Source organism: Homo sapiens, chromosome 15 (genome assembly GCF_000001405.40).
Source record: "Homo sapiens chromosome 15, GRCh38.p14 Primary Assembly".
Taxonomy (NCBI): domain Eukaryota; kingdom Metazoa; phylum Chordata; class Mammalia; order Primates; family Hominidae; genus Homo; species Homo sapiens.
In genome coordinates, this window is record NC_000015.10 from 42,706,053 (window position 1) to 42,722,298 (window position 16,246).

The 16,246-nt window shown below is 44.8% G+C and overlaps 1 protein-coding gene and 1 non-coding gene across 16 annotated transcripts in view; one reads left to right on the plus strand and one right to left on the minus strand.

Moving 5' to 3' along the window:
- Positions 1 to 14,946, plus strand: part of STARD9 (StAR related lipid transfer domain containing 9) — a 145,393-nt gene extending 130,447 nt beyond the window's left edge. For 14 of the 15 annotated variants that reach the window (XM_011521831.4, XM_011521834.4, XM_017022439.3 and 11 more), the window contains 7 exons: positions 10,625 to 10,712; positions 10,875 to 10,996; positions 11,679 to 11,743; positions 11,925 to 12,127; positions 12,383 to 12,477; positions 12,700 to 12,858; positions 13,421 to 14,946. In XM_011521831.4, coding sequence (XP_011520133.1) covers positions 10,625 to 10,712; positions 10,875 to 10,996; positions 11,679 to 11,743; positions 11,925 to 12,127; positions 12,383 to 12,477; positions 12,700 to 12,858; positions 13,421 to 13,522 — 834 coding nt within the window. In that variant the 3' untranslated portion in view covers positions 13,523 to 14,946. The remainder of the gene's footprint in view (positions 1 to 10,624; positions 10,713 to 10,874; positions 10,997 to 11,678; positions 11,744 to 11,924; positions 12,128 to 12,382; positions 12,478 to 12,699; positions 12,859 to 13,420) is intronic. The other variant, NM_020759.3, reaches the window with a different exon arrangement.
- Positions 2,640 to 2,740, minus strand: LOC124903605 (small nucleolar RNA U13). The gene has a single exon (XR_007064831.1). It is a non-coding gene; the product is annotated as a small nucleolar RNA U13 (small nucleolar RNA).

Here is a 16,246-nt window from a genome sequence, read left to right on the forward strand (position 1 = left end):
TGTTGTTTATTTTTTATATGAAATTTAGGATCACCTTGTCTAGTTCAATTGCAAGAACTTGTTACTATTTTTAATAGGATCATGTGGATTGACTTAGGGAGAAACCACGTCTTATGCTATAGAACTTTCTAACCAAAAATGTACTAGGTTCAAGCTTTCTTTTTATGTTTTTAAAGTTTTCTTCATATGTCTCTCACATTTCTTGTCAGATTTATTTCTAAGTATTTTAAGTTTTTTGTTACTCTTGTAAATAGGTTTTTTCGTTCCTTTATATCTTCTGATTATTTTGTGTGTATTAAAGCTATAGATTTCTGTGAATTAATTTTGCATCTATTTTTTTGGTTGATTCTCTAGACCTGCACTACTAATTTAGTAGCTGCTAATACATGTACCTATCTTAATTTTTTTTTTTTTTTGAGACAGTGTCTTGCTCTGTTGCCCAGGCTGGAGTGCAGTGGCATGATCTCGGCTCACTGCAACCTTCGCCTCAATCTTTAAGCGATTCTCCTGCCTCAGCCTCCCGAAGAGCTGGGATTACAGGCGCCTGCCACCATGCCTGGCTAATTTTTGTATTTTTAGTAGAGATTGGGTTTCACCATGCTGGCCAGGCTCGTCTCGAACCCCTGACCTCAGGTGATCCACCCATCTCGGCCTCCCAAAATGCTGAGATTACAGGCGTGAGCCACCACACCTGGCTTTTTTATAGCTTTTGAGCTGAGATAGATATATTTTTGCAATACTAAGGAAATATCCAACTATTCCTACTTTATAGCATATTCTTATCCAGAATGGGTATTTCAGAGTCTTTGGAGATGATTTCATTCATTCATCCATCCATCTATCTATTTTGGGGCTAATATTGAACTATTCTTGCATTCCTGGAATAAATCCTATAATATATATTTATGATTCTGATATACTATTCTTTTAATGTGTTGGAGTCCAGTTATATTTTAGAATTTTGCATCCATATTTGAATTTTTCTGTGGTTTTTGCTTTCACAATATATTCCTTAGGTTTTGTTATTACTTTATACTCCTTTAATAGGAAAGAAAGGTGGTAGTTTTCTTTTTCAAGGTTTATGAATAGTTAAAAAAGTAATAAAAACTTTATACTTATTAAGTTGGCAAAATTTAGGAAGCCAGATGATGCCAGATTTTGGCAGGACTTTGAGGATATTGGAACCATTACAGGTTCCTATGACTCAGCAATGTTTGCATAGGTTATGAGAGAACATGTAAGGAATTGTTTATTAAGGCATTATTTGAAGTGGCAATGAGTTGGAGGACATTCGCAAATCCATCACTGAGAAGAGTGGATAGGTAAAATGTGGTAGTTGCACACATGAAATATTAATACTATGCAAGACTCGAAATCAGCAGATTAAACACCTAGGCAGAATACTGAGTGAAAAACTTTTTTTTTTTTTTTTTTTGAGACAGAGTCTTGCTGTGTCGCCAAGGCTGGAGTGCAGTGGCACGATCTCGGCTCACTCCAGCCTCCGACTCCTGGGCTCAAGAAATTCTCCTGCCTCAGCCTCCCCAGTAGCTGGGACTACAGGTGCCTGCCACCATGCCCAGCTTATTTTTTTGTATTTTTAGTGGAGACGGACTTTTACTATGTTGACCAGGCTGGTCTTGAACTCCTGACCTCATGATCCGCCCATAAGATGAGATATATTACTATTTGTGAATTAAACAACATATACAGTATATAAATACAACATACACAACAATCACTTTTTGCAAGAACACATACAAACAAAAAGATACACTCTAAGCACATCAGAATGATTTGGATGGGAGTGTGAAATGGGGATGAAAAGTAAAAAAATTTGAGAGCCAGACACGGTGGCTCACATCTGTAATCTCAGCACTTTGGGAGGCTGAGGCAGGAGGATTGCTTGAGCCCAGGAGTTTGAGTCCAGACAGGGCAACATAGAAAAAAAAAAAAAAGCCAGGGTGGTGCTGCACACCTGTAGTCCTAGCTACTCAGGAGGCTGTGGTGGGAGGATTGCTTGAGCCTGGGAAGTCGAGGCTGTGGTGAGCTGTGACCATGCTGCTGCACTCCAGCCTGGGTGACACAGCAAGACCCTGTTTCAAAAAAAAAAAATTTCTTTTGAATCATCTTTTAAAGTTTGATATAATAATCCTTTTAAATTGACAAGGCTTGGTGTTTCAGTAGGGGATTAGTTATTTGAAAAACTTCTTCAATGGAAGATGGTCTGTTAAGATCAGGGGTTAGCAAACTATGGCCCTTTGGCCAGATCTGGCCTGCTTCCTGTTTTTGTAAATAAAGTTTTACCGGAATACAGTCATGCCCATTCATGTACATGTCTTCTATGGTTGTGTTCCCACTACAGTGGCAGAGAGTTGAGTAGCTGCAGCTACTCAAATGGCCCACAAAGCCTTAAATATTCAGTATCTAGCTCCCCACAGAAAAAGTTTTGCCAGCCTTTGGTTTAGATATTTCATCTCTCCTGGAGCCCCTTTTGATTCTAACTTATTCATTTCTGTGTATGTTGTTATCAGTTTCTTTTTCCTATTGTGATAGTTTCTCAGTCTTTTCTTGCTTCGTGGTTAGTAATTTTTTGGAATGTATTTATCTGCTGTTTCTTGCTTTTTTTCTTTTTTTTTTCATGTAAGACAGGTAATGTGCTGACGTAACAAGGTTTGAGAGAGGCACTTCTGAGACATGTATGTGAAAACCCGATCGTCATGCTTACGAACTACAAAAGGATCGTGTCTGTGGTTTTCTTATGGTTGGATTGAAGTTATGCGTTTTTGGCAAAAAAAATACCATAGAAGTGATTTGCCCTTCTGAAGGTTGACAGATTAGGCAAAGAAAAATACAGGATGCTAGTTAAATTCAAATTTTAGACAACAAATAGTTTTATAGTATAAGTATGTCTCATGCAATACCTTATTCTCGGTGCATTGTATCAGAGGTTACCGGATACCGACATGTCCTGTTTCTGGTGATGTGAACTTTGATGTTAAGGTGGTGGTTGGGGGTCTCTCCACTGAATGTTGCTATATTGTCCTTTATGATTAATGAACATGGCTGAATGTGGTGGCTGACGCCTGTAATCCCAGTGCTTTGGAAAGCTGAGGCAGGAGGATCACTTGAGTCCAGTATTTTGAGATCAGCCTAGGCAACATAGTGATACGCCATCTCTACACACACACACACAAAAGCTATGTTGGTGGTGCATGCCTGTGGTCCCAGCTACTTGGGAGGCTGAGGTGGGAGGATCGCTTGAGCCTGGAGGGGAATGGAGGCTGCAGTGAGCCATGATTACATCATTGGCCTTGGACAGAGGGAGACCCTGTCTCAAAAAATCTTGGAGACTAGCTGGGCAAGGTGGCTCACGCCTGTAATCCCAGCACTTTGGGAGGCAGAGGCGGGCGGATCACGAGGTCAGGAGTTCAGGAACAGCCTGGTCAGCATGGTGAAACCCCGTCTCCACTAAAAATACAAAAATTAGCCAGGCATGGTGGCACACGCCTGTAGACCCAGCTACACAGAAGGCTGAGACAGGAGAATAGTTTGAACCCGGGAGGCGGGGTTTGCATTGAGCTGAGATGGCGCCACTGCACTCCAGCCTGGGTGACAGAGCAAGACTCCATGCCCCACAGCAGCCCCCCAAAAAAATATTGGAGATGATGGAAAATCCTGTTTTTCCTCAAACTTTCATCCACTGATTTTAGTGTCTACTGGTGTATCTTACCTGTAAAAATTATTACTGTGATATTTTAGGGAATTTTGTATTTCCCTCATTTATTCTACATTTATTAATTGGAACTTTTCTCTAAGAAAGTGCAGTCCCTTCTTCCGCCACTTAATTTATTCAACTATTTAATTTTTTTCAGTTTGGAATCATATTCTTTGGGGCGTAATTCAATACAGTACTGTCATTATTAATTTCATTGTTCAACTTGTTCCAGCTTTAATTATTTGGAGTTCTTTCAGCTTGGGTCTTGTGTCCTTTTGACATGCCCTGTCTTTTTTTTTTTTTTTTTTTTGAGACAGGGTCTTGCCGTGTTGCCCAGGCTAGAGTGCAGTGACACAATCATGGCTCACTGCAGCCTCGACCTCCCTGGGCGCCGGTGATCCTCCCACCTCAGCCTCCTGAGTACCTGGAGTACAGGTGTGCACCACCATGCCCGGGTACTTTTGTATTTTTGTTTTCTAGAGATGGGGTTTTACCATGTTGCCCAGGCTGGTGTTGAACTCCTGGGCTCAAGGGATCTGCCCGCCTGAGCCTCCCAAAGTGTTGGAATACGGACGTGAGCCACCGTGCCTGGCCCTTGAGCACTTCTTTAATTGATTTTTTTATTGTTATAATCCATTGGCTTTAGTATATTCATAGAGTTGTGTATCCATCACCAATTTTAGGACATTTTCATTACCCCCCTAGTTATTCCCTAAATTCACCATTCCCCAGCCCTTGGCAACCACGAATCTACTTTCTGTCCCCATGGATTTGCCTATTCTGGACATTTCATATAAATGGAATTACACAATATATGATCCTTTTTGATGGCTTCTTTCTCCTAGCGGAATGTTTTCAGGATTGTGTTAGTTTCTTAGAATTGCTGTAACAAATTACCACTCACAGAGTGGCTTCAAACCACAGACATTTATGCTCTCATAGTTCTGTAGGCTAGAAGTCCAAAATGTTGGTGTTAGCAGCACCATACTCCCTCAGAAAGCTCCTGGGAGAAGGATCTGCTCCAAGCCTCTTTCCAGGCTTCTGATGGGTTACCAGCAATCCTTGGCATTCACTCCCATTTCTATCTCTGTCTTCACATGACATTCTTGCTCTCACTTGTGCGCTCTCTCTCTCTCTCTCTCTCTCTGTGTGTGTGTGTCTGTCTCCCTGTCTGTTTGTCCCCGTGTTTTCACATAGCCTTCTTTTTTTTTTTTAATTTAACTTTTTTTTAAGAGACAGGGTCTCTGTCACCTGGACTGGACTGCTGTGGTGCAATCACAGCTCATTCTTACCTGCAACACCTGACCTCAAGTGATCCTCCCGCCTCAGCCTCTCAAAGTGCTGAAATTACCATCGTAAGCTACCACATAACTTTTTTTTTTTTTTTTTGGAGACAGAGTCTTGCTCTGTTACCCAGGCTGGAGTGCAGTGGCACGATCTCGGCTCACTGCAACCTCTGCCTCCTGGGTTCAAGCAATTCTCCTGCCTCAGCCTCCCAGGTAGCTGGGATTACAGGCATCCGCCACCACGCCCCGCTAATTTTTTGTATTTTTAGTAGAGACGGGGTTTCACCATGTTGGCCAGGCTGGTCTCCAACTCCTGACCTCAGGTGATCCACTCGCTTCAGCCTCCCAAAGTGCTGGGATTACAGGCGTGAGCCACTGCACCCAGCTCCACATAGCCTTCTTATAAGGACATTAGTCATTGGATTTAGGGACCACTCTAATCCAGTACTATCTTATATTAACTTGGTTACATCTGCAGGGACCTTATTTTCAAATTAGGTCAAATTCACAGATACTGGGAAAATACTTCAACATATTTTCAGTGGAGACAGTGATTTAACCCACAACAAGGGGTCCTTCATGTTGTAAAATATATGAGAGCTTCATTCGTTTTTATGGCCGAGTAATACTCCATTATATGAATAAACCACATTTTATTTATCCATTCTTCAGTTGATGGACATTTAGGTTGTTTTGTGCTTTTTGCCTACTAATGAATATTGCTGCTATGAACATCCCTGTAAAGCTTTTGTATGGATATGTTTTCATTTCTCTTGGGTATGTATCTAGAGTTGAGTTGCAGGATCATAGAGGAACTGCCAGACTGTTTTTCACAGTGGCTGTCCTATTTTACCTTCCCACGAGCAGTATATGAGCAGTGTGTTTCTCTCCGTCCTCACCAACAGTTGCTATGACCTACTTTTGATTATAGCTGTCCTAGTGGATCGGAAGTAGTACCTTATGTGGCTTCAGTTCCATTGCCCTGATGGCTAATGGTGTTGAGCATCTTTTTATATATATATATATATTATATATATATATATAATATATAATATATAATATATAATATATATATAAATGTGCCTTTGCCCATTTATATGTCTTCTTTGGAGAAATATCTAGCAGGATATTTTGTCTATTTTAAGATTCGGTTATTTGTCTTTTTAAGAGTCCCTTAGCAAATATATAATTCACAGAAAATGTCCTCCCATTCTTTGTGTCTGTTCACTGTCTTGATATAGTGCCCTTTGAAGCCAAAAGTTTAATTTTGATGATGTCCAGTTTATTTTTTATTGTTGTTCCTTGTGCTTTGGTTTCATATCTAAGAAACGAGTGCCTAATCCAGGATCACAAAGATTATGCCTATGTTTTCTTCTAAGAGTTTTATGCTTTTAGCTTCCACATTGCATTCTTTGGCCCATTTTGAGTTAATTCTTACATATGGTGAGAGCTAGGGGTTGAATTTCATTCTTTTCCATATGGATATCCAGTTCTCCCAACAACATTTGTTTAAAAGATTATTATTTCCCCCATTGAATTGTCTTGGCACCCTTGTCAAAGATCAGTTGACTATAGACATATGGCTTTATTTCTGGACTCCTAATTCTATTCCATTGATCTACATATCTATCCTTATGCCAGTACCACACTTTTTGTGTGTGTGTGACAGGGTCTCGCTATCTTGCCTGGGCTCGTCTCAAACTCCTGGCCTCAAGCGATCCTCCCACCTCAGCCGCCCAAAGTGCTAGGATGACAGGTGTGAGCTGTTGCACCCAGCCTCACACTGTCTTCTTTACTGTAGTTTTGTAGTACCTTTAGAAGTCAGGAAGTAGGCATCTTCCAACTTTGTTCTTTTTCAAGATTACTTTGACTATTCTGGGTTTCTCAGATTTCCATATGAATTTTAGGATCAGCTTGTCAATTTCTGCAAAGAAGTCAGCTGGGATTTTCATTGGGATTACTTTGATGGGTAGATCAATTGGGGGAGCATTGCTATCTTAATATTAAGTCTTTAGCTCTGTGAATATGGGATGTCATTGTGTTTATTTAGGTTTAATTTCAACAATGTTTCGAAGTTTTCAGAGTATAAGTTTTATGCTTATTTTATTAAACTTATTCGTAAGTATTTTATTCCTGTTGACAGTATTATAAATGGAATTGTTTTCACTTCATTTTCAGTTTCTTCATTGCTATTATGCAGAAATAAAATTGATTTTTATATATCGTTCTTGTCTCCTATACCCTTGCTGAATTCATTTATTAGTTCTGATGGTTTTTTAAAATAGATTCCTTAAGATATTCTATATGCAAGATCATGTCATCTGCCTTTTTTGTTTTTGTCTTGCCAGTTGTGCTGGCTAGAATCTCCAGTACACTGTTTATTAGATGTGGTGAGAGCCGATGTCCTTGTCTTACTCCTGATTTGAGGAGGAAGGTATCCATCTTTCACCATTAAGTATGATGTTAACTGTGCATGTTTTATAGCTGACCTTTATCAGGTTGAGGAAATTCCCTTATATTCCTAGTTTTTTGAATATTTTTATCATGAAAAGGTACTGGATTTAGTCAAATACTTTTTTCTGGTGTCTACTGAGATAATCTTACTGGGTCTTTTCTTTTATTAATATAGTGTATTGCATTGATTTTTGTATGTCGAGCCAGCCCTGTGTTTCTGTGATAAATCCTACTTGCTCGTGATATATGATCTTTTATGTGTTGCTAGATTTCAGTTTACTAGTATTTTGTTGAGGATTTGTGTGTGTGTATTCATAAGGGATATTACTCTATAGTTTACTTGTGATGTCTTTGCCCAGTTTTTGTGTCAGGGTAATTCTGGCCCTATAGAATGAGTTGGCAAGTGTTCCCTCCTGATTTTTGGAAGAATCTGGGAAGGATTGGTATTAATTCCTTAAACGTTTGGTAGATTTTACTAATGAAGCTATCTTGAAATTTTCTTTGATCACTAATTTAGTATCTTAAATTTGTAAATAAAATATGCACTAAGATTTTTTTTTTTTTTTTTTTTTTGAGACGGTGTCTTGCTCTGTCCCCCAGGCTGGAGGGCAGTGGTGCGATCTCAGCTCACTGCAAGCTCCGCTTCCTGGGTTCACGCCATTCTCCTGCCTCAGCCTCCCGAGTAGCTGGGACTACAGGCGCCCTCCACCATGCCCGGCTAATTTTTTTGTATTCTTTTAGTGGAGACAGGGGTTTCACCATGTTAGCCAGGATGGTCTCGATCTCCTGACCTCGTGATCCACCCGCCTCGGCCTACCAAAGTGCTGGGATTACAGGCGTGAGCCATCCCGCCCGGCCTGTACTAAGATGTTTTATTTCTCCTTGAGTCAGTTTAACTTTTGAGTCAGTAATTTACATTATTGAATTTGTTGGCATATAGTTCATAGTATTAATTCATTTATTTTTATTTCTTTTCATGGATGTTTTTAAAGCTAAAAATTTCCCTCTGAGCATTGCTTCAGCCATTTTCCATAGCTTGTGACATGTATTTTCATTTTTAATATAATTTTGCATTTTCTGTTTGTATTTCTTCCTTGATTCAATTGTTGAGAATTTCTTAAACCATTTTTGAGGCCAGGTACAGTGGCTCATGTTTCAAACTCCTGGACTCAAGGGATTCTCCCGCCCAGCCTCCCAGGCAACTGTACTACAGGCACAGTTATCTTTTGAATTATATTTTCTTGTAATACTTTTATACTCCTCCATCTCCCAGTATATCTTTGATCCATAAAGCATAAAGGATCCATTTTGGTATGTCTGTGAAATGGGTCTCTGATGCAATCTTTTTTTTTTTCAGATGGCTGCCCATTTGTCTCAGCAGTACTTATTGATTAATTTATGGATATTTATTTTTGGAAGTCAGTATCCAATAATTTTTGGATATTTATTTTTGTACAGCACTGGGAACAGATTAGGTTACTTAGGAATATATTATGGAGTGAGAAAATAGGGCCTAGGCCTGAATTTTGAAAGAATCCCAAAATGTCAACAGTTGAAGAGGATGTATCAACAAAAAAAAAAAAACCACTCAGAGAGATGAGAAGCCGGGGCCTCTGGAAGTGATTCTGTCAGTGAAAGGGAGAGACTGGCTAAGTCAAAGCTTGCTGAGAGACTCAGGAAATGTAGGACAGAAGTTATTTACATGATCCAGCCACACGGACACCGTGGACCTTGGTGACTGCTGTTTGGAGGAGTGACGAGGGCAAATGTTAGATTAGGGTGGGTTCAGAAGTCAGTGAGAAGTGGGAGATGGCAAACAGCGAGACTGGTTGCAAGAAGCTTATCTGTGAAGGGCAGGAGAGTGAAGAGGAGGGTTTTAAAGATGAGAGAAGCCGGGCACAGGGGCTCACGCCTGTAATCCCAAAACTTTGGGAGGCCGCAGAGGGGAGGATCACTTGAGCCCAGGAGTCTAAGACCAACATGGGCAACAGGGTGAGATCCTGTCTTTACAAATTTTTTTTTTTTTTTTGAGATGGAGTCTCTCTCTGTTGTGCCCAGGCCGGAGTGCAGTGGCACAATCTCGGCTCACTGCAACCTCTGCGTCCTGGGCTCAAGCGATTCTCTCAAGTAGCTGGGATTACAGGCGCCCGCCACCACGCCCGGCTAATTTTTTGTATTGTTAGTAGAGATGGGGTTTCACCATGTTGGTCAGGCTGGTCTGGAGCTCCTGACCTCAGGTGATCTACCGCCTTGGCCTCCCAAAGTGTTGGGATTACAGGCATGAGCCACCGCCCGGCCCCCAAATTTTTTTTTAAAATTAGCCAAGTGTTGTAGCTAATAGGAAAGATCCAGTGAAGAGGAAGAGGTGGGGGCAACAAGTGAAGAGACTGGTGATCAGTAGTGAAAGGCTTCTGACAGGGCAGCGTGAGAGCTAAGCCAGAGGCAGAAGGGCCTGCTGTCTGTGACAGCAGGTGAGAAGGAGATGAGGGTGGATAGAGAACTGTCTTTGTTTCCTCCTTTATTGTGATCAGAGTAGCAGTAGGTTAAAGGTGATGATGGAGGTAGGATGGTGGGTGCCTGTGAGTTCCAGCAGAGGTCAAGGGTCCTATTGTTGAGGAGCTTGCTGCGGTGGAGGTGTGGTGACCACATTGCAGATCCAGAGGGTAACCCCATCTAATCCCCAGTTAGGACCTTTAGCTTGGCTGCTGCACCTGGGGTGGGGGTCAAGCGTTCAGCTTTTCATAGCCCATTACTTTTCCTCCCATCCCATCTTCCACATTTATTACCCCGTTAAACCCCCTCTAGCCATGGCCTCATTCCTGTTGCCCGGGTGGTGCAGAGAGCCTCTCATGCACTGATCCCTGGTACCCCCTAGCTTGGAAGCTGGCAGAGCACCCCATACTCTCAGGCCCTGGTTGTTTTGATCCCTGTTGGAACTCTCCTGTAAGCAGCCTCTGCCTGTGGCTTAGAGGGGGAGCAGAGATCGTCTAGATACCTATTTCTATTGCTGTGGTCTTCTTTGGGGGACATCGAGCCTCTTGTATTCCCATCTGGGAAGACCTTTGCAGTTGAGTCATCCCACTGGAAGCTGTGAGATGCAGTTCAGAGGCAGAGGAGATAATTCTGTGCTTGCCTTCTGGCTCTGTCCTGAGTATCCTCTCTTCTGCAGGGGCATACAAACTTGCCTGATTCCAGGGATGTATGGATAGGGGATGAGCGAGGAGGCCATTCTGCAGTGAGGAAGAACTCTGCCTACAGTGAGTTGCGGGGAGTGTTGGGCATAGCCAGCTGCCTGGTTTGGGGACTTGGGGGCTGATGGCTGCTAGATCTTAGTGAGTCACTGGTCTGTGGGAGAGCTGTTGCTGTCCTGAGGCCCTGATGTTCAGTGCTATCACAGGGCCTCCACCTATTTCTTGTAGGCCACAGAGCCTCCCTGGGCAGTTGCTGCTGTTCACCATCCAGTCTGTCCAGCTTGGGGACCTGCTTTTCCTCCTCCTACCAGGATTTGGCCAAGCATGTCGTGGACACTTCTATGGCTGATGTGAGTAACTGCTCCCACCCATCCCTACCATTCCTTTACCCAGACCTCTGCTGGGTGTGCAGGAAGAGAAAGTAGGAAAAAAGCTGGGCAGATGAGGAGCCCAAGGCTTGTGGGCATCTTCAGTGGTTCTTCATCTTGAGAAAAGGGGAATTCGGGTCAGGCGCAGTAGCTCATGCCTATAATCCCAACATTTTGGGAGGCTGAAGTGGGAGGATCACTTGAGGTCAGGAGTTCGAGACCAGCCTGGGAAGCATAGCAAGACCCTGTCTCTACAAAAAAATAAAAAACATTAGGCCAGGCGTGGTAGCTCACACCTGTAGTCTCAGCACTTTGGGAGGCTGAGGTGGGAAGATTGCTTGAGTCCAGGAGTTCAAGACCAGCCTGGGCAACATGGTGAGACCCTGTCTCTACCAAAAAAATAAAAAAAGATAGCTGGGTGTGGTGGTGTGTACCTGTAGCCCTAGAGACTGGGAGGCTGAGGTGGGAGGATCGCTTAAGCCCAGGAGGTTAACGCTGCAGTGAGCTGTGATTACGCCACTCCACTCCAGCCTGGGTGACAGAGCTAGACCCTGTCTCAAAAAAAAAGAAAAGGGGAATTTAGCAGATGCAGGCCAGACTGACTAACCCAGGGGCTTAGTTTTTACTGTGCCTCCTAATTTGGGTGTGGCCATTGTGTCCCCAGGTAATGGCTGCTTGTTCGGATAATTTGCACAACCTCTTCAGCTGCCAGGCAACTGCTGGCTGGAAGTAAGTTTGTTTAGGGTCCTTTGTACAGTGTCTGTCTTGGTAAGCTTGTCACCCTGCTTGGCTTCTCTCCTCCTTTCCCTTACCTGGATTCCTCAAGTCTTCACTCTGAGCCCCTCCTTTGTGACCCTTAGAGCCCATTTTTGACCCCTTTCTATTTTCTGTGCTTGGTGTCTCCCCCCAGCTATCAGGGTGAGGAGCAGGCGGTGCAGCTTTACTACAAGGTGTTTTCTCCCACTCGGCATGGCTTCCTGGGGGCAGGTGTGGTGTCCCAGCCGCTGTCTCGTGTGTGGGCGGCTGTCAGTGACCCCACTGTGTGGCCCCTGTATTACAAGCCCATCCAGACAGCAAGGCTGCATCAGCGAGTGACCAACAGCATCAGCCTGGGTGAGCCCAGGGAAGGAAGGCTTCCATGGGGCCTAGTTTCTGGTGTGCCCAGTGGGGTCTTGCTGGGGGATAGAGGTGGAGGGTTGGAGGCAGCCCTCTTTGGAGGCCAGGTACTCAGGTTACCTTGATTGCTCAGCCTAGGTTGAGCTAGGTGTCAAGTGATGGGGTGTTGGGGGGAGGGCTCCCTGACCAGGAAGGCTTTAGGACTAGGTCTGTCCATGGGCCTCCTGACCTTCCTTATCCCTGTCCCTCCAGTGTACTTGGTGTGCAACACCACCCTGTGCGCACTGAAGCAGCCACGGGATTTCTGTTGTGTCTGCGTGGAAGCCAAAGAGGTGCCTGCCTTGGTGGTAAAGATGTTGTGGGAAGAACTTGGGCTGAAGTGTCGTGAGAAACAATCTATGTGGGCCTCAGGTCCTCTAGGGGAAGGAGGGCAAATTGGGGCTGGAGCCAGGGTAGGGGTGGCTTGAAGGCTGGCCCAGTGTTGCCTTTCACCATACTGTCTACACGGGAGCCTGTTCCTGTTTTGTCCACACTACACAGGCAGGACTCCCATTTCCCTCTGTCCCCAGGGTCACCTGTCTGTCATGGCAGCCCAGTCTGTGTATGATACATCCATGCCAAGACCCAGCAGAAAAATGGTTCGCGGGGAGATCCTGCCCAGTGCCTGGATCTTGCAGCCCATCACTGTGGAAGGGAAGGAAGTCACCAGAGTCATCTACTTGGCCCAGGTGATAAATCCTTTGCAGCTGGCCTCACAGCACAGGCTGACTTGGTCCCACAGCCCCCTGGGATTTTTCTGTCTCGCTTTTGAACACCCTCCAGTGCCCAGGCCCTTTGGCCTGAGACCTGGAGACTTGAGGGCTTCCTGGGCTTTTGCAGTAAGGGGAGTCAGTGGGGAATTGGAGAGAAGGGAATGCGACAGGAGTTTATCAATCTTTTCTGAAGCTGCTGTTACCGAAAACCTAGTGACCTGCATCCTGTGGGTGATCCCAGTGTCCTTAGGAGATAGATGAGTCATTGTGAGGCAAAAGCAGCAGCCTCAGCAGAGCGGAATGATGACCTGTTGGGTTCACCTCTCCCGTCCCAGTCCCTTGACTTGTACTTTGTCACTAGGAGGTGAACGCCAATACTTAGATCTGGATGGCAGAGCCCAGGGGCCTGTAAACACCAAACCACAATCTGAGGTGCTTCTCCCATCACCACAGGCTGAGGGGACTCCATGGGACTGGAGTACGCCTGGCATTCTCTCAAATCTATTTGCACCTTAAATTCTTCTCTCTCTGCTTTCAGGTGGAACTTGGTGCTCCAGGCTTCCCACCTCAGCTCCTGAGCTCTTTCATCAAACGGCAGCCACTGGTTATAGCCAGACTGGCTTCCTTCCTTGGTAGGTAGCATCTCACCGTCAAGATGGTGCTGCTGAGATGCAGGCCCAGGCTGCTCAAGAGAGACACTGTGGCAGCTCCTTGTTACTTTCCATACCACAGTGCAGGAAAAGCTGATGCTACCTGCTGTGGCCGATTGGGGCAGACAGCACTGGCCCAGGGATGCTAGCAAAGCCCAGTCAGTACTTGGTCACAGCTGGCACCAGTGCAGAGCAAACGGCCTGAGCTCCTGGCCCAGACTATCCAGAGTGAATGCAGCTCCGCTCACCTTTTGGATTTCTCACCTTTCTTTCCTGTTTCTGGGACTCTGCGGCAGACAGGACACTTAAGGACCAGGACTGGGCACAGCCAGCAGAGCCGGGGACTGCAGTGCTTTGGCAAGGTGCTTCCGCAGGCTGGTAGGGAAGCAGGCAGCCACTGGCCAAGACTCTGTTCTGAATCTACCTCCTCTAGCATTCAGCTCTACTGTGTGATGGGACGTTAAAAATACCAAAACAGAAAGAGGGTTTAAAAAACAGCTGCACAAACCAGAACACCGATTCAGAATCTTTTCTCCCTCTTGAGTTTTTGCAAAATACTTTATTATTGATTTTTGCTTTTTTTCTCCCTTTCCCTCCCAGGAGAAGACATTTGGGTCTTGGCCTGAGGCAGGGGTGTTGAGCGATGATGCTCTGATATGGAGCTGTCACTCTAGAGCTCGGTCAGATGGAAGACACTATAGAACCAGGTTGGACAGATTTGGGGTCAGGGTTGGAGGCTGAGTTCTTTTGAGGACTGGTTGGAGTGGCAGCCAGATGGTGGCTGCTGACAAGGCAAGAGGAATTTCAGAGATTAAACATTGTCCTTTGAGGAAGGGAGAGGAGGTGAATGAACTCCCAGAGGAGGTGAGTGGCTTGTTGGGAGGAAGCTCAGTTCCAGAACTTACCTCAGTGCACTTGGGAGGGGTGGAGTCCTGAGCATTCCATGATTTCTGCCCTGGCCCCACCTATCCTAGGATGGGGTGGGATGGAGAGTGGGTTCAGTTTTCTTGTACTTTAGCCTGGCTGAACATGAACTTTGTGTTTACCTGGAAGTGGTAGGGGTGGGAGAGATTCTCATCTTTAGTTCTGGTGCCCAAAATCTTTGGTAGATGGAGGGAACTGGGGATTCAGAAGATGTGGTAAAGGTCTATTTCTGTAGTGTGGCAGAGATGTGTTTTTCTAAAGTGTTTGCAGGGCATTTTTCCCTCTTACCTCAGATTAAGTTATTTATATATTGTTGATTGAAGGTTTTTTAAAATTGCTTTTAAACTTCTATTTCTCGGGTAAATTTTTTGGTGACATGATATATTTAACACCCTATTTATATACTCCTACCTCTTTTCATATAAATCTCTTACTAAGACTACTGACCAAAAAAGAACATTTTAAAATTAAAAGTCCTCTGTGTACTTTATCTAGTGAAGAGTAGATGAAATCCTGCACCGGGATAGCCTAAGTGTGTGATTCGAGCTTGGCAGATTAGCTGGAGATCACCCTGGCAATACCCACTCATAGCTGTTTCAAAGATTCAGTTTACATGTATGTACAGTTTCCCATGAACTTGGCATTGCTTTGCAGGGTAAACAGCAACCAGGTAAGTTGCTCAACTATAGCCCAAGTAAGAACTAAAGGGGAGAATCCAGAACAGTCACTGCCACACCTAACAGTGACCACAGTGCCCTGGGGCTTCTGAGGCAGAGCCACCTATGGGAATCTGAGTCAGGGGATAACCAGGAGGTGACCCTGCCCGCCTTAATAGAGAAGCCAGCCGGGCATGGTGGCTCATGCCTGTCATCCCAGCACGTTGGGAGGCTGAGGCGGGTGGATCACCTGAGGTCAGGAGTTTGAGACCAGCCTGGCCAACATGGTGAAACCTGTCTCTACTAAAAATACAAAAAATTAGCCAGGCGTGGTGGCATGTGCCTGTAATCCCAGCTACTTGGGAGGCTGAGGCACAAGAATTGCTTGAACCTGGGAGGGGGAGGTTTCAGTGAGCCGAGCCGAGATTGTGTCACTGCACTCCAGCCTGGGCAACAGAGTGAGACTCTGTCTCAAAAAAAAAAAAAAAAAAAAGCAACACCAGACCTGACTGAATCAGCAAGCGAAAGATTGAGAGGGATCTTGTAGCAAAAAGCAAAAGTGGAGTCAGATTTTGGATTCATGGCGTGGTTGTCATACTTTCGCATACATCAGAATCACCTGAACGCTTTCTTATGCCCCAGGATGGGCCCTACCCCAAGTTACTGGTTTGGTAGCCCCGGAGAAGGACCAGAGAATTTGTGTTAACAAGAAGTCCCAGGGGACCCTGAAGTTTGCTGGTCTGGGGACCACATTTTATAAACAGCTGGCTTTGACAATTAGAGAGCAGACATACAGAATCTAGTTCACTGACCCACTAGCTGCCTGTCTCCATAATCCTTAGAGTAGCCTTTAAGGCTCACACAGGCCAGCAGGAAGTTTCCTTCATCGGGAACATGTTAAATTTCCATTCAGATTCCCAAGAACTTGTTTTTAACTCAGTGGGCCTTAAGCCAGGCCTGGGTTATGGCCCAGCCCTTCAGTCTCAGCATCCTTAGGGGTTTCAGGTTTTCCTCTCCTGCCCATTCCATGTCACACACCTCAGCTGGGTCCTCTGGAACAAGTCAAGGAGTAGCCACAAGCCTGACGCTGACCCTAAGCTTCCTGGGTGGGGGCGGTGCTATGGTTTAATCACA